This window comes from Homo sapiens, chromosome X (assembly GCF_000001405.40).
Source record: "Homo sapiens chromosome X, GRCh38.p14 Primary Assembly".
Classification (NCBI taxonomy): Eukaryota; Metazoa; Chordata; class Mammalia; order Primates; family Hominidae; genus Homo; species Homo sapiens.
The window spans coordinates 120,445,123-120,470,377 of NC_000023.11; the positions used below are offsets into that span (position 1 = coordinate 120,445,123).

Below are 25,255 nucleotides of genomic sequence, written 5' to 3' on the forward strand. Positions count from 1 at the left end.
TACTACTTTCCTTGTTCTTATTGACCATAACCCCTATTAGGTAACTTTAAAAGAGAATGTGCCTGAGGCTTGCTTTTACCATACTGGAGAGGACAAATTCAATTAGACATTTTCAATAGTAATTCACTGGTCACATGGTACTTTAACAGAGGAATTATTTGAATGCTGGAAAAAGGAACATTTTTGTAAACCTTTCCAAAATACAAGTGCCTAATGTAATCCTCAATTACTCGGCATATATTCTAAAGAGAAAAATGTGCTTTAGACTCAAAATACCAAGATCACATATGAAATAACAACATACCTACTTTTTATATATCAGATGTTGAGATTATTTCCCCATCCCCAAACACAGTAATCTGATTTAAAAACAGAACTGGTTTTTATCTAATTATACAATATTTTTAGTTTGAGAATAGTTGGTGGTTCAACATTTTCCCTCACTTACAGCTATCTTCTATTCCACCAGTCTCATTTGCCACAACATGTTCACACATACATCCCTTCACAGAAATTATGGGAATAATAGTTGCTTCTGAGAAGGTGGAAATAAAGATCCCCGATGATTAATTTATGCTAGCAAGAAGTAGAACAGGTATGCTTAACCCAAAACCTTCTGTTTAGGTTTCAGCTCTTGATCAACAACAAAAACCTGAATGCTGCCATTATAAATTGTCCTGATTTAATGAATTCATATACACACTTAACACAGAGCTTTGTACATAGTAAGTACTCAATAGATGTTACCTATTTTTATTACTGACACTATCACAAATAATATAGCCTCCAAATGGCTTCAAATAGTATCACAGAAAAACATGAGCACTACCTAACCAATAACAGAGAAAAAATTATCATGGAAATTACTTATGTATGGATAGATTAGACAATTGTGGGTTTCGTTTTTTTCTTTTTTTTGATGTGAGTTAATTCTTGCTTCTACCCTAGAGTCTCTCTAATGGTAAAATGGCCACTCTTGGTGAACATTAATGCAAGAGTCCAGTCCACAGACCATTGCACAGACTCTGAGGGATGAACAGGGATGAATGGACTACACTTTATAATTGAGTACTGTAGAACTGGAAAATAAAGCTAAATACCCCCCTCCCCCCATGCAACTATTTAGACTTTCAGATGTGTTTCTAAGAGAATGAACCTAACTTTAAAAAATCTGTTACTCACCACAGCAAAGACAAAGTCTAGATACTTAATGGTGCTGCTATTGAGTCTAAGTAGAGCAGTGTGAGAACGGCAGCTGCCTGTGGAGTGAGTTGTATTGGGGTTGATGTTAATAACTGAAGCAACCTTCAGGAGAAGAAGAAAGGGAAAAGGTACAGGTTAGCTATAAAAGTGGCCAGCAAAGCCTTACACTCTACCAAACAAAATCAACTTCAGCGTAGAACAAAAAATCTTTTGTCTGGATACTTAAAATTCATGGTGTCTTCACTTTCAAACAAAGTTGGCATGGGTCCTCAAGCTATGACTCAGACAACTTAAAAAAAAAAACAAGAGGGAAGCTTCTACAGTAATGAGCCAAATGAAAACACACATTTTTATGGAGCACAAGAGCCATCTGCCTCGCTTGTTTAAGTCACAAGATCCTGGAAATCGGATTTGTTTCTTGGCAATCCCTCTACAGCCTGAGTGGAACATTGCAACTAGAAGTGCCATCATGTACTCGGGCATGTCTACACGATCCGAGTAATCAAATAGCTGGAGAAACGGATAGCTGTGCCACTCCTGTACGCCAACCTACAGTGCATTTCAGATCAAAGTGTGAAGGAGTTATATTTTAAACTGACTGAAATAAAGGCCAATTGTTTGTACTCTGATCCACTGATGGCAAATAGAATCTAAACCCCCAAGAGTACTTTAAACTGCTAGGTTTTCTGCCGGCCAACACAACACCTGAAAGTGACATTAACACATCATGGTTATAGTAACTCCTAACTAATCAAAGCTCAACAAGCCAACATGAAATCTCCATTTAAAACTGAATCAGGCTGGGCGCGGTGGCTCACGCCTGTAATTCCAGCACTTTGAGAGGCTGAGGCGGGTGGATCACTTGAGGTCAGGAGTTCAAGACCAGCCTGGCCAAGATGGTAAAAACCCATTTCTACTAAAAATACAAAAAAATTAGTTGTGCATGGCAGTGCACGCCTGTAACCCCAGCTACTCGGGAGGCTGAGGCAGAAGAATCACTTAAACCCTGGAGGCGGAGGTTGCAGTGAGCCAAGATCATGCCACTGCACTCCAGCCTGGGCGACAGTGTGACACTCCATCTCAGAAAAAAAAGAAAGAAAAACCTGGGTGTGGTGGCTCACGCCTGTAATCCCAGCACTTTGGGAGGCCGAGACGGGCGGAGCACAAGGTCAGGAGATCGAGACCGTCCTGGCTAACACGGTAAAACCCTATCTCTACTAAAAAAATACAAAAAATTAGCCGGGCATGGTGGCAGGCGCCTGTAGTCCCAGCAACTCGGGAGGCTGAGGCAGGAGAATGGCGTGAACCCGGGAGGCGGAGTTTGCAGTGAGCTGAGATCGCACCACTGCACTCCAGCCTGGGGGACAGAGCGTGACTCCATCTCAAAAAAACAAACAAACAAACAAAAAGAAAACGGAATCATTCTAGTAACACTACCTTTGGGCTGAAGGTAGGATACGCAATATTTGAAATGAAATGCAAAAAGGATGTATTGATAAAGATAGACACCTATACCTTATCCTGAGTGATGTTCAGCTGCAGCCCCATGGTAGCCAGCAGACAAGTATCATTGCCATTATTAACTGAATAGGTTCCAGCTTCTGGTTTTTCCTTTGGAGTAGGTGTTGTAGTAGGAGATGGCACAGTGGTGTGTATGGTGGGTGCCACTGTTGAAGTTTTGTCTTTATCACACAGGAACTCTAAAACAAGCGAAAAGGGACAAAAGAAACCAAAGCGGACATTTTCTTAATTCATAAGGCCAGGGAAAACCAAAAAAAATTCTCATAATAGAAGTCCAAAAGGGTTATATTAGGGGAAGAGAATATCTTGTTAGTATATTTGAAACTAAATTAGGCAGAGGTTCTTAAACTGCTGCTTCATATACAGAATATCTACATGAGTTATGACACAGCAAACTCAGGACACATCCCTATGCTTTATCTGCTCCCACATGGCCACATACTCGTCTTTTTCAGACCCTTAAATCTTTTTATTCCCAAAGAACTTTGCCTGCCTCTGATACGAAATTCAGAGAGTTAAGTCTTAAATTTTTTGGTTCTTTATTCCCACATACAATCACCATAAGGAAGGATACTGTTTACTAGAAAAAAGCTTAGAAATCATCAAAGGACTTAAATACAAATGAACCATTTATTTGCATTAGCCCTATGGCAAATCATAGGCATTTCAACCTCTTCTTGGGAAGTGTTCATAGTTTTCCAGAACTGGTGAATGAGAAATTATTACCTTTCCATAAAGCTATATAAAAATTATAAAATCAACTTTAAAAATTCAAGATTAGAATATGAATCTGATTTCTAAGCTTTGGTCTTGGAACCGCTAAAAAAGCTGATAATCAAGCTATCTGAGGATCTGTTCAAACAATGATTAGGTTTTATCAGCTGAGAACAGTATAGGTAGTGTCTTTTAAAATACCATTCCACAACATGTACATCAAAAACTTTAAATTGTAAGATACACAAAAATAAGAATTGCTATTATTTACAAAAACTTTATAGCCTAGTAGAAGCTATGAATAAACCTTAATATATAAATGCTTTCAGATAATGACTTCAATGAAAGCTACCTGGTATACTCTACTCTTAAATTAGGATCCAAGTAGAGAAATATATACTTTACTCACCATTTGTGCTCACTGTGCCATTTTGGACAAAAGCTTGTACAAGAACATCCCAGTAGTGTTGGACAACATCATTCTTTTCCAAAGTTGATAAACTATTGCATCTAAAAAGGTCATTCAATGGAATTCTGATGGCCAAAAGTTCATCAACAGTAAGAATTCCTATAAAACAAGATTAACAATGGCTATTTCCAAGAAGGTAGGAGAAAAGTGATAATATAAATATATTTGTATAGGCTTTCTTCTTCTCTCTGCCTGCCCTACCCCAGGCACAAAGTGACAAAGGATATAGCATGCTTAAGGGCATGACTAGTTCACTGTGGCTAAAACATAAGGAGTAAGGGGGAAGAAGAAATGGGGGTTAGGGGCTGGGCACAGTGGCCCATGCCTGTAATCCCAGCACTTTGGGAGGCCGAGGTGGGTGGATCACCTGAGGTCAGGAGTTTGAGACCAGCCTGACCAACATGGTGAAACCTCGTCTCTACTAAAAAGATAATAATTAGCTGGGCATGGTGGCAGGTGCCTGTAATCCCAGTTACTTGGGAGGCTAAGGCAGGAGAATTGCTTGAACCCGGGAGGCGGAGGTTGCAGTGAGCCAAGATCGCCCACTGCACTACAGCCTGGATGACAAGAGCAAAACTCTGTCTCAAGAAAAAAAGAAAAAGAAAGAAAAAAGGAAAAGAAATGGGGGTTAAGAAGGAAAGACAAGTTGCAGGTGATCATACTTTGAAGCATCTTCTATGATCTAAGGCCTGTTTGGGCTTTTCTTTTTAGCAGTCGAGGGCTAGCCTCAGTTTTTAAAGCAGAAAATAACACATATATAATTTATTTTAAGGAAGATAGCAAATTTGTAGGGGATAAGCAGGGGGAAAAACTTTTCAGGGAAGCCACTTAAGAGGGAAACCAGAGGGTGATGGTCTGGTTAAGGTGAAGGGTAAGGGAGGGTTGCCTAAACTAAGATGGTGTGGGGCAGTAGAAAGAGAGCAAAGAAGCCAAACTGAAAACACTTATCTATGGTAGAATCATCAGGACTTAGTGACTATAACTAAAGAAGCAAGAGAGATGGATTAATCATACATTTGTATAGTAAATCCTTATTTTTGTTTTACTAGTCCCAAGTAAGTTATATTAACTCCAATGAGCTTATAGAACCGCTTCCTGGATTACATTTAAAGATGATTCCATTTCAGGGAATCTTCAGAGTATGAAAGCAGTAAGTTACAGCCATTTCATATAGTTTTTATTAGCCTGTGTATAGTGAAACTTCAAAAGACGATGATCACCCAAGTGGTTTGGCTTCTTTTGGAGAAGTAGCAAGAAAGGAAAGTATCCAAGGTCCTTAATATAGGCTGCCTTCTGTGCCTCTCCATCATGTAGCAAGCAGCCATATAATGCTGCCTTGGCACCCCCTAATGGCCATAGGAATTAAAAAACAAAACAAAACAAAAAACCAATGAACTAGAACATTTTTCCCAGAATTGCTTCTCACCGTTAACAAAAATGAATAGATACGTGACTGGCTGTATATAGATGGACTTCAAAAGCAAATCAGCAAAAAAACAACTTGCAGGCATATTGGAGTTATACTATGAATAGCTTTTTTTAAACTATGTATTGTTTATGAACACGTACTTATATAGTAAAAGACAAACATAAAGACAGGAAGGTTATACCCCAAATTTGTGAAAGTGTTTGCCTCTTAGCAGGCAAGAAGGAAAATGGGTCTGGGGAATGAAGACAAAGGAAATATCAACTGTATTGTCAACGTTTTATCTTTTTAATCAAAAAAGTAACACAAACATTAAAAAAACAGCATTTATTAATTCTGGATAATGGGTACATATGGGTCTGCTATATTATTCTCTGTATACATATATAATCTTTATAGATATATAATCTTTATATATATATATGTATATGTAGAGCCTTTTAAAAAACCCTTATTATATACGTAACTTATATATATATAATTTTTTTTTGAGATGGAGTCTTGCTCTGTTGCCCAGGTTGGAGTGCAGTGGCATGATATGAGCTCACTGCAACCTCCACCTCCTAGGTTCAAACGATTCTCATGCCTCAACCTCCCAAGTAGCTGGAATTACAGGTGCACGCCACCACGCCCAGCTAATTTTCGTATTTTTAGTAGAGATGGGGTTTCACCATGTTGGTCTCGAACTTCTGACCTCAGGTGATCTGCCTGCCTTGGCCTCCCAAAATGCTGGGATTACAGGCACGAGCCACCACACCTGGCCAGTACATTTCTATATTTTAATCACGAAAAAAATTTAAAAAAGAAAAAAGCAGCTTCAATGTTACTTCAGTTATCAGATGCCTAAAAATAAATTAGTAGTTTTTTATTTTTATTTTTTGAGACAGAATGTCGCTATGTTGCCCAGGCTAGTCTCACACTCCTGAGCTCAAGCGATCTGCCTGGCCTTCCAAAGTGTTGGGATTACAGGCGTTGAGTCACTGCACCTGGCCTAAATTAGTTTTTTTTGTTGTTGTTGGGGGTGGGTAAGGAAGGGTCTCCCTCTGTTGCCCAGGCTAGAGTGCAGTGGCGTAATCTTGGCTCACCGCAACCTCCGCCTCCCAGGTTAAAGCGATTCTCCTGCTTTAGCCTCCTGAGTAGCTGGGATTACAGGCACGCACCACTACCACCCGGCTAATTTTTGTATTTTTAGTAGAGACAGGGTTTCACCATGTTGGCCAGGCTGGTCTCAATCTCCTGACCTCCAATGATCCACCAGCCTCAGCCTCCCAAAGTGCTGGGATTACAGGTGTGAGCCACTGCGCCCAGCCATAAATTAGTATTCTTGAAACACTGAACTATATCAAAAACAATTATTAATAGTCCATTTCAGGAAGCCATTTAACATTCCAAATAGTTTCAAATATTATTATATAGAAGGTAGTAATTTAAAAAGTAATCCTCCCTTTGTTTTAAATAAAAGGGGAAAGAGAGAAGTGTTAACATTTCAGGGTCCATAGTTTTTCTATCCAAATATGTCAGATTAAACACCTCCTCCTAATAACTGCTAACAACTGATGCCCCTGTAGTCCAGGCATTTATTACATCAGCCCTTGATTACTATAACAGCTTCTTAAGCCAGCATCTCTGCTTGTAGCCTCCTCACTTCTCAACTAATCCTGCAGAATATTCTTTATAAGCTACTGTCTCTGCTTTTGTTATATCATTCTCCTGCTTTAAAAACCTAAAATGATTCCCCAGTGCCTGCCCCATCAAGCTAAATGTCTTTCCTTGGCTTCCAAGGCCCCCTATAATTTAGGCCCACTTCATTTAGCCAACTTTATTTTCCTTCTGCTACACACACAGCCTGATTTAATCAGGCAGCTCTCCAATTACTGCCGCATATGCTATGCTTCCCCCTGCTGGAAACATCCTGCTCAAAATCCTCCGCTTACTCAAATTCTACCATTAGCTGAGTTTCAGCTCAGGTCCTACTTCTCTACCAAGCTTTCTCACTACTCTAACACACACTGAGCCTTCCTTTATCACTCCTCCTAATCAGGACCACTTGTGGGAACACGGGAACACTTTTAAATCAGCCAGTCTTTTCTTTTTCTTTTCTTTTTTTTTTGAGACAGGGTCTCTCTCTCTCTGTCACCCAGGCTGAGTGTAGTGGTGGGATCACAGCTCACTGGAGCCTCAACCTCCTGGGCTCAAGCGATCCTCCACCCTAGCCACCCAGGTAGCTGGGACCACAGGCACACGCCACCACACCTGGCTTTTTTTTTTTTTTTTTTTTTGTAGAGACAAAGTCTTAATATGTTGCCCAGGCTAGTCTTGAACTCCCTGGCTCAAGTGATCAGCCTGCCTCGGCCACCCAAAGTGCTGGGATTACAGGCATGAGCTACCATTCTCGACCTAAATCAGGCACTCTTAACCACAGGGATCTACATATGGGTTCAGGGACTATGTTCCATATGCAAAGTTTACTGTGTACTTTTTCTTTTTTGAGAGGGAGTCTAAAGTTTTCCTCACACTGTCAGAAGAGATTTATGAACCCTCTACTCCCTCAAACAAAAACGCAAACAACAACAACAAAATCAGACTGAGCTCAATGTTTTCCAATTTTTCCATGTAACTCGGGAATAGCATTTAGCTTTGTCTCCCCAGCTCATTCTTAGGCTACTTGAAAGTGAGGGGCATATCTTATACTAGCTCTGAAAGGCAAAACAGGGCACAAAGATAAACTGATAAGATAGCCAATAACCATTTGCTTTAGTTATACTCTCAAACTAAGAGATTAGTAAAAAGAACACTAGGATTTGATTTCCAAGTCTCATTCTGCAATACCTCCCAAATTTTACGTGAGCTTATTTACTTCTGGTTCTTTCGAATAGGATCTTTTGACATCCTTAAGTCCAAATGAGTTATTAATCCCCAGGTCTAGGCAACTAAAGCCCATCTACCTGTTTCTGGGGTCAGAATGAAACACTATCTGCAAAGAGCTAAGCTACTACAAATACCACATTAACTCAATCTCAACGGGCAGGGGGAGAAAGAAGAGAATTATATCCCTAACAAAATTAAAATCTCGACCACGTGCGGTGGCTCACGCCTGTAATCCCAGCACTTTGGGAGGCTGAGGTGGGTGGATCGTGAGGTCAGGATTTCGAGACCATCCTGGCCAACATGGAGAAACCCTGTCTCTACTAAAAATACAAAGATTAGCCGGGCGTGGTGGCACGCACCTGTAATCTCAGTTACTCAGGAGGCTGAGGCAGGAGAATTGCTTGAACCTGGGAGGCGGAGGTTGCAGTAAGCCGAGATCAGGCCACTGCACTCCAGCCTGGGCGACAGAGCGAGACTCCAGCTCAAAATAATAAAATAAAATAAAATCTCTACACTCTATATCTTCAAAATATTTTAACACGCATTTCAGTTCTGGGAATTACTAGAATGGCCTAATTGCCAATGCTTCCCAAGTTCATTTTGACCTGAAATTGTCTTAAAATAACAGCAAATGTTGACTTTAGTCTCCCCTTATCCACGGTTTTTGCTTTCCCTGGTTTCAGTTACCCATGGTCAATTGAGCTCTGAAAATATTCAATGGAGAATTCCAAAAGTAATCAATTCATAGGTTTTAAAATGTACGCCATTCTGAGTAGCATGATTAAATCTCTTGCTGTCCCGCTCTGCACAACCAGGAACATGAATCATCCCTTTGTCCAGTATATCAACGTTGTCTACACTATCCATCCGTTAGTCACTTAGTAGCCATGTCAGTTATCAGATCAAAAAAAAAAAAAAAACATAGCATTTCCTGTATAGGGTTTAGTAGTAACTGCAGTTTTAGGCATCTACGGGAGATCTTAGAATGATACCCCCTGAGTGTAATGAGGGACTACTACACCTTTAACTAATCATCATTTACTTTTCAATCAAAATCCAACCTAAATGATAAAAAGATTTGAACAAGAGGCATTTCTCCTAGTCTCAGGTTACTTAACTTTTACACATTTAAAATAGCTATTAGTAGCCAGGCACAGTGGTGCATGCCTGTAGTCCCAGCTATTCAGGAGGCTGTGAGGCATGAGGATCGCTTGAATCCAGGAGTTCAAAACCAGCCTAGGCAACATAGTGAGACACCCCCCCCAACCCCCGATCTTGAAAATAAAGTAGCTATTAGTAAAGCATTTTCTCATTCATCAAACCTTTGTTTCATGCACACTACTGAATGAAATCAATAATAGTTAAGTATATGAATTCTGCAGGTCAATAGACTGCTTCAAACACCAGCTCGCCCACTTACCAGACTGTGTGATGTTTGGAAAAGTCATTTAATCTTATCAAGCCTCATTTCCTTTACCTGTAAAAATGAAACAACATCTACTTCCCAGGGTTGCTGTTAAGAATTAAGTGAGATGCTGCAGGTAACACACTAGGTGTGTTACTGTATACTAGGAGATATATATATATATATACACACACACACACACTAGGATATATATATATATATATACACACACACTAGGATATATATATACATATATACTAGGATATGTGTGTATATATATACTAGGATATATGTGTATATATATATATACATATATACTAGGATATACATATATATGTATATATATACACATATATATGTATACTAGGATATATATAGTAAGGTGACTTACTGTATACTAGGATAATACCTGGTATACAGTAAGTCACTCAAGCAATGACAGCAAATATCATCAGTATGTTGGATGGTGTCATATGTGCCATGCATGGGGTCAGTGGGAGGGTTATAAAGACATGAAGTTTCCATGCTAGTTAGGAAGACAGACATTCATAACAATTTTAAAATTGTTTACATTTTTATCATTAATAAAAAGCAAGAGAACATAACACAAATCCATTCTTAAGGTTACCTTTATCTTCAGCATCAGGAAATGTTGTGTTATCACCAGTGTTGTAGGAAAATGAGACGCTGTCAATTGAATAAGTAGATGCTGCCTTGGTAAAATTCGCAATCCAGGAAAAGCCAGGTCCGAACTGCACTGCTATTTTGGGACCATTCTGATCATCCCCACAAATGCTTCCATTATATGTCACAGTGCCATGGTCTGAAATGGTTACAGTTTTCTAAAAGAAATAGAAATTTGGGGGTGAGAAACAAACAGGCAGCAAGGAACACCAAGCATTTATGTAGGGCATGCCACTTCAGCCTAAATCATACATTCTCCATGGCCAGGTTGCCCTTTGCCTGGTTTGCTGTGTAAACCAGTCCCTGATTCTTCTGCTACATACCACTCCTCTGGATAAATTCGTGTATGTCTAAAAAGAAAAGGAAAACTGGCTTGAGCTGCTGTTCTTAAACTGATTTTTTAAAAAATTAGGTTGTAAGTAGTGAGGACCTTAACAAAAAGAAAATAAGAAGGCAAAGGAATTAAGAGGAGATGTCAAAAAGGGGGAGATTTTAGTGTTAGGTTGGTGCAAAAGTAATTGCAGTTTGTGCCAAAAAAAAAAATCGCTTACTTAGGTTGGTGCAAAAGTAATTGTGGTTTGTTCCTTTAATGGCAATTACTTTTGTACCAACCTAAGTAAGCGATTTTTTTTTTTTTTGAGATAGAGTCTCGCTCTGTTGCCCAGGCTGGAGTGCAGTAGCACAATCATGGCTCACTGCAGACTCAACCTCCTGAGCTCAAGCAATCCTCCAGCCTCGGCCCAGCGAGTGGCTGGAGGTACATGTGTGTGCCACCATGCCTGGCTAATTTTTAAAGTTTTTTTGTAGAGATGAGGTCTCACCATGTTGCCCGGGCTGGGTTCAAGCAATCCTCCTGCTTTGGCCTTCCAAAATGCTGGGATCACAGGCATGAGCCACCATGCCCAGATGGGAAGCTGCTTTTTAAAAGGGCAAGCTTTGGTGCTAGTACATTTTAAACACTTTACAGAAATACTTAGACCTGAACACCATATAGTCGTCTTCAGATCATTTGCCCTTAATCAAGTCCTACAAAAACTCCCAAGAACCAATGAATCAGAAGAAATATTCATTCTAACACTAAACAGAATAACTTCTGAGTGTGTATGCTTAAAAAAAATCCCAGAGTTTCAGCATTAAGTCAGTCAACGTGGAATTTCATTTGTATACGTGTATCTAAAGGATAAAGTCAATTAAATTCCTACTATAAAACTCAAAGAAAAATTAAAATATATACTTACATAAGTTTTATTTGTAGTTTCATAGCGTACTGTGAAATTCATCTGCCATTTTGCATAAAGGCAAGTGGCATTTTCTGAATCTGTCAAATTAAGTTCCAATGCATAAGACCGCACAGCTCCTGGATTCATTTAAAAAAATAATATTTTAAAATTGTACTACAAAAATTATATAAATTAAAAACAAGCTCTACCCACCACTGAAGTTCAACCAGCTCTAAAATGAAACAAAAGTATTTTATATCTATATATACACATACATATATATACATATATGTGTATATACATATATGTATGTGTATAGATACAGTATCCTGCTGACTGTTTTTCTTTGTATTTTTAACAGAATCCTATTGATAAAAAAGTTGGCATTATCCCTTACCAAAAGAATGGTTACTAGACCTAGGATGCTTAGGTCATGGCTCAGACTGGTGACATTTATTTGCCTTTTGCCTTCAAATAATCATTTCCACATGCATTTATACCTTACTAGTTTTGTTTTAGGCAATTACAGTTTGCCTGTTAGGACTTGTGGTTTTTGCGGTAAATGAGGTAAGAGGAAGCCTGGTAGGGGTGTAAAACTTCTCTCAAACCAGCTGGTGAAACATTCACTGCAAAAATAATGATAGATCCGATATTCTACCATCTTTTTGCTTTAAATCCTGTTGCAAGCTACATAATCTATGACACACGGATGTCTTCCCAAACGATTTTATTCTGATGTGATCAGATACTCTTTCTATCATGTAACCAAGGAAGCAGAGTTGCAAAGGGCTGTTAAATCCATGAGAAAAACATGAATTCTGATAAATGCAAAGTTCATCACTGTTTCACTTTAAAATCGAATTGATTAGAAAGGCTGATGAATTTTTTGACGCAAAGTTATTTCCTAAATTTTCAACCTGCTACCTCTTTAGGCAGAGAAATGTTACAGAGACAGAAAAGCCTTGGAACTTTTCAGCTAACATGGTGGATCTTCTACACTTAAACATAGAAACATTATCTATTAAACTGAAGAGCCCAAGGACTCAAAATACTAATTCAGAGGAGAAAAAATATCCCAGCAAACATGCCAGCAGCATAAATATTGGGCAACCATTTAAGGGATTTTCTTCACTGTATCACACATTACCCAAAGGGTAAGCTGTTTCCTGTTAAGATACTTGCATACTCTTTAATAATATCTGAGCAATCCACTGTCATCTACAGGTACAGACTTGCTATAGACTAGAGAAAAGTGCTAAGAGGAATATCAAGAAGGTATGCCTCAGCAACAGCTTTCAAGTTGTATAGAAGAGCCTATCGTCATGCTCTGGAGACCTGGCTGCTTTGCAAGCCAGAATATTATACTAAAGCTTGTGGTTACTGACAGTGACTAAATGCATTGGCTAAGGCTCAAAAAGACCTTGTGAGGCCTAAGTAGGTTTTATGATCATTCTTTTCTAAGTACAATACGGAAGGGAGCTGTTATACTTACTGATCCAAGGCTCCCTGCCATGGAGCCAAGAGCTCCAACTTACAATTTTAATGAACTGGAGGTTTGCTTTTTATATGCAGTCTTTTCTCGGTCTTGTTTAAGGTCTCTAGCTTTAGTATATTATTCTCCTTGTATTCAAAACATTCAAAAGTATTGAAAATTACCAAGAAAAGCCTCACATGTATTAATCATTTTCTTTCCAAATATATTAGAATAACAGGAAGAAGACCATGTAAAATAGTAATAGCATCGATAGCTTGCATCAATGTGTCTTAGGGTGTGAGAACTGACGTTTTATGAAACAAAAGGTAGAGGTTGTGGTTCAAACGTATCACTTAAAATTAAATTCAAGATAGTATACCTGGTGGCCCGTAAACAAGAGCTGAGAAACACCCTGAGGGTTCTGGCACACTCTGTTCCATTCCCTTCACAGCCTTTCTGCCTGAGTGCAATTCTTTCCACTTCTTGGTCCCCAACTCTAACTGCACAGGGACCACTTTTACTCAATATCTCTCACCTCAAACTCAGCAATTCCCAAACTAAAATTCATTCTTCTGCTTCCTCCAAACTGGGTCCCTCCTCAGCTTTGCTAGCTCTAAATGAAGAGTGGGATCAGTCACTCAAGCTCAGTTTCAGAAATAGCCTCTACTTCTTTCTCTTCAAGAAGTCCTATTGATTTTTTTCCTTCAAATCTTCTCTTAAATACAATCTTTGTCTTTTATTTCTACTCCCAATCTATCACCCCACACCTAAATTATGACAGAAAATGCCTAGATACCCCTAGAAGTGCTGCCAGATTAATAATCCTTAAGTACCATTTCCTTTTAGGACACTTTCTTGTTCAAAAACTTTTACTGGCTCCAACATTCCCATATGAAATTTAAATTCCTCTGCCTGACTTTCAAAGTAATCTTTAATCTTGTCCCATCCTATTCCTTCAACTTTTCTCAAACTATTTTCCCAGAGCACACCCTTTAATCCAGTTAAACTTGTTTCCACTGGGCTCAAATGCCATACTCTATTCAACCTCTACCCTGGGCTTCTATTGTTCCTAACACTTGAAATCTACTTTCTTCTATTGGCCTAAATGCTCACCTCAAAGATGGATTTTGCTCGCTTTTTGGCTGCCCCAAATCTGAAACACCCCTTGTCCCCTTGTTACAATTTCTGGCAGAAATCACCACCCACTATAAAAGCTGAAAACACTGGATACTTGCTTTCCCAGACTCCCTTGCAGTAAGGAGGACCACTTGTGCTAGGCTCTGCCTAACAAAGGTATCCACCCCACACTTTGAAAGGAGGGCTGCAAATGGAGCCAGGAATGGAACAGGGAGGGAGACAGGTGTGGAGTAACAGAAGCAGGATCAAGCTCCCAGGCAACAAGGCCAGCAGAGCAAGCTTCAATTTCACACTTGGCAGTGGTAGTGCAGTTCAGCAGCATGATCTGGGTTGTTGAATCCTGAACTGGGATTTGGTATATATAGCCAGGAGCACCAGAAATTCTGAGTTACCCAATATACCCCTTTAATAAACATTTGATATGTAACATATGTACAGAAACAGGCACAGTATAACAGATGTAAGGGAAAAGTGCACGTAACATTAAGTCTACAGCTCAAATAATTTCACAAACCAAAACCACCTGTGTCAAGAAACAGAACATTAACAGGTGTTGACCCACTGCACAGTTGAAAATCTGCATATTATTTTTGACTCCCCCAAAACTTAACTACTAATATCCTACTGTTGACTGGAAGCATTACCAACAACATAAACAGTCGATTCACACATATTTTGTATGTTATATATGTGTTACATACTGTGTTTTGAAAATAAAGCTAGAGAAAAGAAAATGTTAAGAAAATCATAAGGAGGGCTGGGCATGGTGGCTCACACCTATAATCCCAGCACTTTGGGAGGCTGAGGCAGACGGATCACTTGAGGTCAGGAGTTCGAGACCAGCCTGGCCAACATGGTGAAACCCCATCTCCACTAAAAATTTGCTGGGCTTGGTGGTGGTCACCTATAATCCTAGCTACTTGGGAGGCTGAGGCAGGAGAATCGCTTGAACCTGTGAGGTAGAGGTTGCAGTGAGCTGAGATCGCGCCACTGCACTCCAGCCTGGGCAACAGATAGAGACTCCGTCTCAAAAAAAAAAAATCATAACGAGGAGGAGGAAGAGGAGGGGTTGGTCTTGCTGTCTTCAGGGTGGTAGAGGTGAAATAAACTCATGTATAAGTAGATCCACACACAGTTCAAACTTGTGTTGTTCAAGGGTCAACTACACTTCCAAAGCCCTCCTTATTTCCCTTTCCCTTCCCAAGGGTTACTATTCCCTTCCCAAGGGTAACCATTATCCTGATTTCTGACACTATAGATTAATTTTATCCATTTTTCAACTTGATATAAATAAAATCATTCACTATGCTCTCTTTTGTGTCTGCTTTCTTTCCTCAATTTTAGGTTTTGTGAGATTCACCCATGTTATGCATAATTGCAGTCTGTGCTCACTGCTGTATAACCTTCTATGATCAGGTGAATACAGGCCAGGTGGGGTGGTTCACGCCTGTAATCCCAGCACTTTGGGAGGCCAAGGAGGGTGGATCACTTGAGGTCAGGAGTTCGAGACCAGCCTGGCCACCATGGCCAAATCCCACCTCTACTGAAAATATAAAAATTAGCTGGGCATGGTGGCACATGCCTGTAATCTCAGCTACTCAGGAGGCTGATACAGGAGAATCGTTTGAACCCGGGAGGCAGAGGTTGCAGTGAGCCAAGATCATGCCAATGCACTCCACCAGCCTGGGCAACAAGAATGAAACTCTGTCTCAAAAAAAAACAAAAACAAACAAACAAAAAAACTACTTATCTATGCTACCTTTAATGGGCATTTAGTTTCCAGTGTGATTCTATTACAAACACTGCTGCAAACATTCTTGCACATATTAGTAAACACATGTATGCGTGTATGTTGGCTGTATATCTAGGAATGAAACTGTGGGGCCAAAGGGTATGCATTATATCCCAGTTCTTTTTAATAAATTCTTTTCTGCTTAAAATCAATCAGATTGTATTTCTCTTCCTTGCAATTAAGAACCTGGGCTGATATGCTATCTGTTTTTTCAGTAGCCATTTTCTCCACAAAGCTTTCCCTGACTATAAAAGCCCTCAAGGAGCAGTAATAATGCACATCCCATTTCAGTATATTTTACATTATCCTGAATTATTCAGTTATTTTATAGCAGTAAATCCTGTCCCTCCTACTGTCATAAGCTCCAACACAGCAGTTTTCAACTGTCACTTCATAACAAACTGGTGTGCCATGGTAAATTATAGTATACAGTAAGTAATTTGTTACTAATAAAAAAAGTACCAAGTCTGTGAATGAATGATATATATGGATAGATTCAAGATTCCCTTTAGATAACATTTCTGTCACTCGTTTGAACTCCAGTATGCTCCCTTGATCAGATGATCTGATGTATCCCACAACCCCTAGCAGTGTGTCTTTTATATGAATGTCATCTATCATGAGTGTCATGGTAGGGGACACCATGTGTATTACTTTTCCTCTATCTCCTATCATTCCAAGTAGTGCTGAATGCATATTAGATTTTCAATAAATACTGATTAATTATATCAAGGTGAAAACACACTGCAATAGGGACCCAAAACATAGCTTAATCTAATTACAGAGAGGCCAGTCCTTTAGCTCTTCCAAATCTTGAACATATCAGTCTTCTGGATATTCCCTCAAACCCCATGTTGGGTTTCACTTCAATAAATTTTGACATGGATGTCAAGCTAGGAACAGAGCTTTTCCCAAAAGGTAAGTTTACAGTTGAAATATTTACACTTTATTAAAAAGTATCTAGCAAGCAATTTCCATCCTTATTGCTGTGTTTGATTTTACAATACCCAATTTTTAAAAGGCTTTATGACATTAAAAAACCATAGATGAATATATTCTAGAGTGTGTAATTTTAGAGCTGAGAGTTTATTCTCTAAATAAAAGAAAAAGGTATGCCTCAAAATCAACCGTTCTCAAAGTCAAATATCCTCTCAATCCTGTTTTCCAAAAAGGTCATTTGTAAATTCTTTTAGAATGCAGACCTTGACCGGGCAGTGGCTCACACCAGTAATCCTAGCACTTTGGGAGGCCAAGGGGGGCAGATCACTTGAGCTCAAGAGTTCAAGACCAGCCTGGGCAACATGGCAAGACCCCATCTATACTAAAAATACAAAAGAATAGCTGGGTGTGATGGTGCATGCCTGTGGTCTCAACTACTCGGGAGGCTGACATGGGAGGATCGCTTGAGCCCATGAGGCAGAGGTTGCAGTGAGCCAAGATCACTCCACTGCACTCCAGCTGGGGGAATGGAACAAGACCCTGTCAAAAAAAAAAAAAAAAACCTCTCACAGAGAACACAGACCTTACTTCCCCAAGTGTATGACACTGCAAAAAGTGGCTAGGTTTTTGCAAGTCTATTTGACCCAAAGTATAGCTGAAAACATAAACACACAAAATTAGGGGTGGGGGAAGAACATAATGCTAGCAATAAAACAAAACCAATAAAAAGAAACCAAACAATGATCCAAGATACAATGGATTGATTATATAATGAAGTGATTAAGAGTCCCCATTCCTGGAGTGGAAGAGCTAGAACTCAAATCTGGCAGTCCAACTTCCTAGCTGTGAGACTTTGGGCAAGTTACCCTTGTTTAGAATTATAGTGCATATTTCTCCAATAGGTTCTTTGAAAGCATATAAACCCTTCAGAGCTAAAAGAAATTTGCCAAACAAGTTAGATACCAATTTACAAGTCTCCTTTTTAGTAAACACAGCACCTAAAGGGAACCTTCCCAAGTTTTAGCTTTATGTTTACTTTCATCATATTAAATTCTGGACTCTTGTCCTCAAACTCATGAATTTAGAATGATGTTGAGCAAAAGGTCTTTTTAAAATACAGGACACAGAGGCATACGGTACCTATTTATCTTTGTTTTCTATTCAGAGTGATGGTTTTCCTACAAGTTTAAGTCAGATTAACTGTTTCTCCTTTATAATTCCTAATAATAGGTACACTCATTGCATTCAGTTACTTTATACCCTTGCTTTTGGTAAGTTTCTTAAAGGAGAAAAGCAATATGATTTTAAAGTAAGAATGTTGAACACATGAAAAAGAGTATTAAAAGTTAATAAAAATATGTTTTTAAGCTATAAAATGACTTAATTTGTTAAGGCCAAAGAGTGGGTAAGGAAACAAGATTCAACACTACTCAACTAATGGAAAGTGCTTATTGTTGAGCAGTGTTTGGCACACCTCCAGAATTCTTTCACAATGCACAGCAGGATACCAACAAGTACTTATAAAGTATACTTTTGGGTCTGAGGGGATCTCTGATCACTTTAATAAGAAATTATGATCAGAATACTTTTGCACTACAGAAAGAAGAGCAGCCTTCCTGCATCAAGGGTCATTTAAATCAGCTCCAGTGCTACGAAATAATGCTTGGTTATAGACAAAATCTACCCAAAGATATAGGGGAAGAAAGCTGTTCTTTTGGGACATATTTGAGTATCTATAACCCTATCAGATGTGACAATCTGATATTTGGGACATATTTGAATATCTATAACCCTATCAGATATGATAATCAATGACTAACAAACTAATCTGGTATTTGGGACATATTTGAATATCTATAACCCTATCAGATGTGATAATCAATGACTAACAAACTAACAAGCCTGTCCTTTCTTATCTTCTAGCTTGACTTCTGTTTTTCGTTTTTTTTTTGTTTTTTTTTAGGGTTCAGAATTTTTCAGTCCTTTACAGTATCTCTATTATAACTAGAATAATTTGGCAGAACCTCGAAATCAAAGTTATCAGTTAAATGAAATGTGTTAAGCCTATAGAAAAATCTTAGTGCTTGTTTTCTCTCAGAGAAAACCTAACTTTGTGAAAACCTAACTCTCCTCACCAAGGAACTCCTAATTCTCCATATTACCCCCTTCGAGACTACGGAGGTATATCTGAAGGAGTACAGGTAAGAAACTAGCATTATTATATGGGATTATACATTAGTAAATTACTGTATAATTATCCGTACTGCTTAGCACTGATCTTGAAGTTTTCAATCCAAAAGAACTTCTTGCAAAACATCATTTAAAATTCATGGAAGAAAAAGGAGACTAAATGAGTCTAGTTTACCACCATATCCCTAGTGCCCACCAATGAATATCTTCAACAAAAATTCACTACGGGTTAACCATGTACCAGACCCTATGCTAGGTAGGCAATGGGAAGTAACAGTACATAAGATCGTCTCTGCTCTTAGAGACTGCTACCATAGGAGAGACTTGACTAAAACTAGGGGGAAACAAAAAAGCGTGGAAAATAGGCTAGTAACCTAAGATTTTGCAAATGATAAGATTTATTCCTATTTCCCCAGATGGTCACATGGCTGGCCTCCTGCCAACACCCAGGTCTCTGCCCAAATGTCACCCGATAACGGAAGGCCCTCTGACCACATAATATAAAGAAGGATCATCCACCATCACCCATTCCTATCATCTACTCATTCTCCTTTCTCATTACCTGTGTAATTTTCTTCATAGTGTTTTTGTTTTGTTTTGTTTTGAGACAGAGTTTTGCTCTTGTCCCCCAGGCTGGAGGACAGTGGCATGATCTCGGCTCACTGCAACTTCCACCTCCTGGATTCAAGCAATTCTCCTGCCTCAGCCTCCCGAGTAGCTGGGACTACAGGTGCTGGCCACCATGCCCTTGTATTTTTAGTAGAGATGGGGTTTCACCATGTTGGCTAGGCTGGTCTCGAACTCCTGACCTCAGGTGATTTGCCCACCTTGACCTCCCAAAGTGCTGGGATTACAGGCGTGAGCCACCATGCCCGGCCTCTTCATAGTGTTTATCACTATCTGACATTATATTATTTATCTGTTGAGCTTTCTTCTCCCATTAAAATGTAAGCTCCATGAGAGCAGGAACCTCATCTGTCTTATCCATTCCTCTGTCCCTTTCACCTAATATAGTGGCTGGGACACAATAGGCATTCAGTAAACGTGTGGAAGGGAGAGGCTCCTACCAGTAACATACACTAAGAATATTTCTGTGAGGTTTTTCCCACCCAGAAAAGCCTCAAACCTAAAAAAAAAAAATTCTGAACCCTAAAAAAACAAACAAACAAACCAAAAAACAGAAGTCAAGCTAGTTATAAGAATCAATAACCACAGAAGAATCCTGAAATCTATGATATCACAAAAGGACCATAATTAGGCAATTATATAAAGAAAGGATTTTCACCCACTATCCACTTTATAACACCTCTAAATCATATAGCTTCTCTTCGGAAAGTTGTCTGGTCAGTTACAATTCATCCAAATAAACACCAGCATAATTTAATCTCTATGAAAAAGACCAATATATAGCCTCTAAGAATCCTTTTCTGTACTTATTCTAAAGCTGCTGTTTTTAAAAGGTTATGGGTGAAGCTGGGATAGAGTTATAAAGTTACAAAGTCAAACTGGCACAGCTAGAGCACTAATGCTAATAAGACTATAAATTTAGGACAGGTCCTCCTTCATTGGCACTCCGTACAGTACCCAGGCACAGTTCTAGCTACATAGTAGGTACTTTACAAATATTTATTGATTTAGCTACATATTAGGTACTTTACAAATATTTATTAAGTTTTCAAAAACCTATTATTGGTATCCATTTTGATATAGAAAAGTAACTTGTGCAAAACCCACCAAGCAACTGCTAAATTCTTGACAGAAAAAGCTATATGGGAGGACTTTGGGCTCCACACTGAACCAAGAGCCATCAGAAAATGCAGCTGTATAGAAAAATGGTTTCTATTTCATCCTGGAACCTCTTAAAAATCAGATCTAGGTACATTATTAATATTTACTTTTCCAAATCCTGCTCTGAACTTGGAGGCGGAGGGAATCAATCTTGGAAATTTTCCAAGAGGAAGAATCTAGTTAGTCCTGATCAATAAATGGCAAACTAGCAGATGAGCTGATGGGTTCTTTTATGTGCTTCTTTTTGCATGTTTATTTTCTGCAGTGAGTAAGCATTGCTTTTGTAAAAACAAAACAAAAAAGCTTTCATTAAAAAACAAAAAAAAATTTAATGACATGAAAGCCAACAAGTAGGACAACTATTATTTTTTTCACTTTCCCAAAACAATAACAGTGTTGTATTTGTGCACAGATTCAATTGGCAGGGAACTACTGATTAACAGATGCCTTGGTCAGATGTGTTCTAGTCACTGATAAGGTACTTTCCATTGTAAACAATCCTTTCTTAGGGTCAGTTGGCCCTCAGTAAGTGCTCCAAGGTACAGTTAAGGCTTCCAATTAAGTATTCAAGCAAAGCCTGCCTCAAGGCCGCCTTTCAGAAGTGCTACAGAAGAGTTTCCTGCGCGCTGTGAACAGTTGGACTACATCAGGGATTCCCAAAGTTTTGGTGTCAGGACCCCTTTACTTTCTTATCCACTGAGGACTTCACAGAGGTTTATGTGAGTCATATGTATTGGTATTTACAGTATTAGAAATTAAAACTGAGAAATGAATAAAATATAAGAACATCAGAGTGGTGAGGTCATCACATGTTACGTAGCCACTGGAAAACTCTGCTGTACACTGGTGAGAGGATGAGAGTGAAAAGGACAAAGGACAAATAACTTCTTTTTTTTTTTTTTTTTTTGAGACAGAGTTTCGCTCATGTTGCCCAGGCTGGAATGCAGTGGCGCAATCTTGGCTCACCGCAACCTCCGCCTCCTGGGTTCAAGCGATTCTCCTGCCTCGGCCTCCCAAGTAGCTGGGATTACAGGCATGTGCCACGACACCGGCTAATTTTTCTATTTTTAGTAGAGACTGGGTTTCACCATGTTGGTCAGGCTGGTCTTGAACTCCTGATCTCAGGTGATCCGCCCGCCTCAGCCTCCCAAAGTGCTGGGATTACAGGCGTGAGCCACTGTGCCCAGCAGAAAAGGACAAATACCTTCTTAACCTTATTCCGAAGTTTTGATTTCACAGACGCATGAAAAGGTCCTCGAGAGTCACTGAATTAGATAATCAAGAACCCTTCCAATACTATGGTTTTCGAGCAGGATTTATCAATGTTGGCACCATTGACATTTTCAGGGAGATGATTCTTTGTTGTCAGGGGCTGCCCTGTGCTTAGTTAGGATGTTTAGCAGCATCCTTGGCCTCTACCCACTAGATGCTAAAAGCAATCCCCCAGTTGTTACAACCAAAAATGTCTCCAGATGTTGCCAAATGTCCCCTGGTTGAGAATCACTATTCCAGGGTGTTGATTTCATTCTACTGAAATGTGAATTACAAAATGTATACCTCTCACTGCTTTCTCAGACCCCTAATATGTCTATTTCTTCCCCACTCCCATCTGGGTCTGTTCTTTATGTTATTTTATTAAGTCACAAATAGCAAGAGCAGGTGGGTAGCAACAAGCACAGCATGAATCAAAGTCAGGAAGAGACACTTTAGTCAAAGTTCACTTTTAGGCATTAAAGTTGTTAGCGACCCACTGCCTATTAGGGCACAACACAATCAGCGAACATTCACCCAGCCATTTATTTATTGATTTATTTATTTTTATTTTTTGAGACAGAGTTTCACTCTTGTCGCCCAGGCTGGAGTGCAATGGCGCAATCTTGGCTCACTGCAACCTCCGCCTTCTGGGTTCAAGCGATTCTCCTGCCTCAGCCGCCCAAGCAGCTGGGATTACAGGCATGTGCCACGACGCCCGGCTAATTTTTGTATTTTTAGTAGAGACGGGGTTTCACCATGTTGGCCAGGCTGGTCTTGAATTCCTGACCTCAGGTGATACACCCACCTCGGCCTCCCAAAGTGCTGGGATTACAGGCATGAGCCACCACGCCCGGCCCCATCCAGCCATTCTTAGGCCCTGGTAACAACCCAATCCTTAGCAAGTTTGTCTACCTGCTCCCTGCACCCCCAAAATATGAGGTAATAGGCTAGCTGTGTGATGGGGAAGAAAGAAAAGAAGAAACTCTGAAGGCAAAGAGGTAGTCTACCAAACTCAAATACTCCACCCCCAAAACCTCACATCTGGGAGGCCCTCCTAACTGAAACGTCTGGGGATTTTTTTGTCAGCGTCTGGCTGGGAGGAAGTAGCAAAACTGGGAGAAAATCGACATCCTCAATACCTCCAAGTCAGATGTGCACTCCCCATCAAAGTTCCCCCTGAACCCCTTAGTCTCCAGAGGTTGGGTCCAAGTTTTCTTTCCTGGAAATTGCCCCAGCTACCTTAGGTTCCTTCGCCCTTAAAACTATGACTACCAAACTCAAACCCAGCATCACTCCTAATCTCTTGAATCATCCTTTCTTCACAGTCTCAAATTCCAACCTTCAAAATGCCCAACCCTGTCACTGCCCCTGCCCCTCAGGCTCTACTGTCCTATCTGTCCCATCTGTCCCCCACCCACACACTTCTCCCAAGCTACTCCAGGCAGGCATGGTCTTCTCTCTTAATTTCCTATCTCACCCCATAGTTTTTCCACCATCTTCAAAACTCTTCCCTGATCTCAGCAAACCAAGACTCTCCTAATTGTCTCTGGCGCCCAAAATCTGCATGTACCACCCTCCTACGCTCACTCCTCAGTGTTTTCCCCAAGTTACTCTTTCCACGCTGACCCTCTCCACGCTTCACTCCTCCCAGCCTACTCCCTCGGCGTCCACCCCCCGTTACCGGCCCCTTCTTACTCTCCTGGGCCCTTCTTCCCCGCCATCCGTCGGTCAGGCCTTCTCTAGGTCACCGCTTGCCTCCCCGGGCCAACCGCCGCCGCCCAGTGTTAGCTGCTGAGCCTCTCAACCCCCTCCCCCTCGGACCAGTCTTTCAGGTTGTAGCTTTGAACTGGTGCCCCGGGCCCAGGCGGACAGACTAATCGGGAGGGCCCGACAACTCACCCAGGACTAGGCAGACCAGAACGAGCCCTGAGCCCGGAACCGGGAAGAGGCGGAAGCACACCATGACCCCGCAGAGCAGGCGGCGACGGCGGCGACGGCGGCGGTACAACAACAGCTGCAACACCAGGGAAAAGGCTCGCTGGACCTGGGTCAAGAGCACTGATGACCACCGACCACAGCCTTGCAAAAGCCAGGAATCGGCGCTTCAGTGCGAGTCATAAGACTAGGGGCGGGGCTCTTTCTTGCTTACAGCCAATCTCCGCGCTTGAAAGCGGCGAGAGGGGTGGTGATGTAGCGGCCGGTGGGCGGGGCGACCACGCCCTGGCTTTTTGGTTCACAGCCCTTCCTATGCTCCTGAGAGATATGCGCGGACGGCATTTTCTTTTTCTTTTTCTTTCTTTTTTTTTTTTTTTTTTAATTTTACTTTAAGTTCTGGGATACATGTGCAGAATGTGCAGCTTTGTTACATAGGTATACATGTGCCATGGTGGTTTACTGCACCTATCAACCCGTCATCTAGGTTTTAAGCCCCACATGCATTAGGTATTTCTCCTAATGCTCTCCCTCCCCTTGGCCCCCACCCCTTGACAGGCCCCCGTGTGTGTTGTTCCCCTCCCTGTGTCCATGTGTTCTCATTGTTCAACTCCCACTTATGAGTGAGAACATGCAGTGTTTTGTTTTCTGTTCCTGTGTTAGTTTGCTAAGGATGATGGCTTCCAGCTTCATCCATGTCCCTGCAAAGGACATGATCTCATTTTTTTATGGCTGCATAGTATTCCATGGCATATATGTGCCACGTTTTCTTTATCTAGTCTATCATTGATGGGCATTTGGGTTGGTTCCAAGTCTTTGCTATTGTAAATAGTGCTGCAATAAACATACGTGTGCATGCGTCAAATGGTATTTCTGGTTCTAGATTTTTGAGGAATCGCCACACTGTCTGCCACAATAGTTGAACTAATTTACACTCCCACCAACAGTGTAAAAGCATTCCTATTTTTCCTCAGCCTCGCCAGCATCTATTGTTTCCTGATTTTTTAATAATCACCATTCTGACTGGCGTGAGATGGTATCTCATTGTGGTTTTGATTTGCCTTTCTCTAATGATCAGTGATAATGAGCTTTTTTTCATGTTTGTTGCTGCATAAATGTCTTTTTTTGAGAAGTGTCTGGTCATATCCTTTGCCCACTTTTTGATGGGGTTGTTTTTTTCTTGTAAATTTGTTTAAGGTCCTTGTAGATTCTGGATATTAGACCTTTGTCAGATGGGTA

At 40.3% G+C, this 25,255-nt stretch overlaps 1 protein-coding gene across 3 annotated transcripts in view, besides 1 other annotated feature; it reads right to left on the reverse strand.

Annotated features, from left to right (window-relative positions):
- Positions 1-24,227, reverse strand: part of LAMP2 (lysosomal associated membrane protein 2) — a 43,202-nt gene extending 18,975 nt beyond the window's left edge. For 2 of the 3 annotated variants that reach the window (NM_001122606.1, NM_013995.2), the window contains exons 1-6: positions 23,984-24,227; positions 11,529-11,647; positions 10,235-10,448; positions 3,848-4,006; positions 2,719-2,903; positions 1,183-1,305 (exon numbers count right to left, since the gene is read on the reverse strand). In NM_001122606.1, the coding sequence (NP_001116078.1) occupies positions 1,183-1,305; positions 2,719-2,903; positions 3,848-4,006; positions 10,235-10,448; positions 11,529-11,647; positions 23,984-24,047 (864 nt within the window). In that variant the 5' untranslated portion in view covers positions 24,048-24,227. The remainder of the gene's footprint in view (positions 1-1,182; positions 1,306-2,718; positions 2,904-3,847; positions 4,007-10,234; positions 10,449-11,528; positions 11,648-23,983) is intronic. The other variant, NM_002294.3, reaches the window with a different exon arrangement.
- Positions 24,112-24,376: a silencer, noted in NCBI's record as "fragment chrX:119603089-119603353 (GRCh37/hg19 assembly coordinates)". NCBI's record gives its function as "represses an EF-1alpha promoter that drives an FKBP-Casp9 reporter gene in an ReSE screen in K562 erythroleukemia cells {active_cell/tissue: K562}" and the evidence as "EXISTENCE:reporter gene assay evidence [ECO:0000049][PMID:32094911]".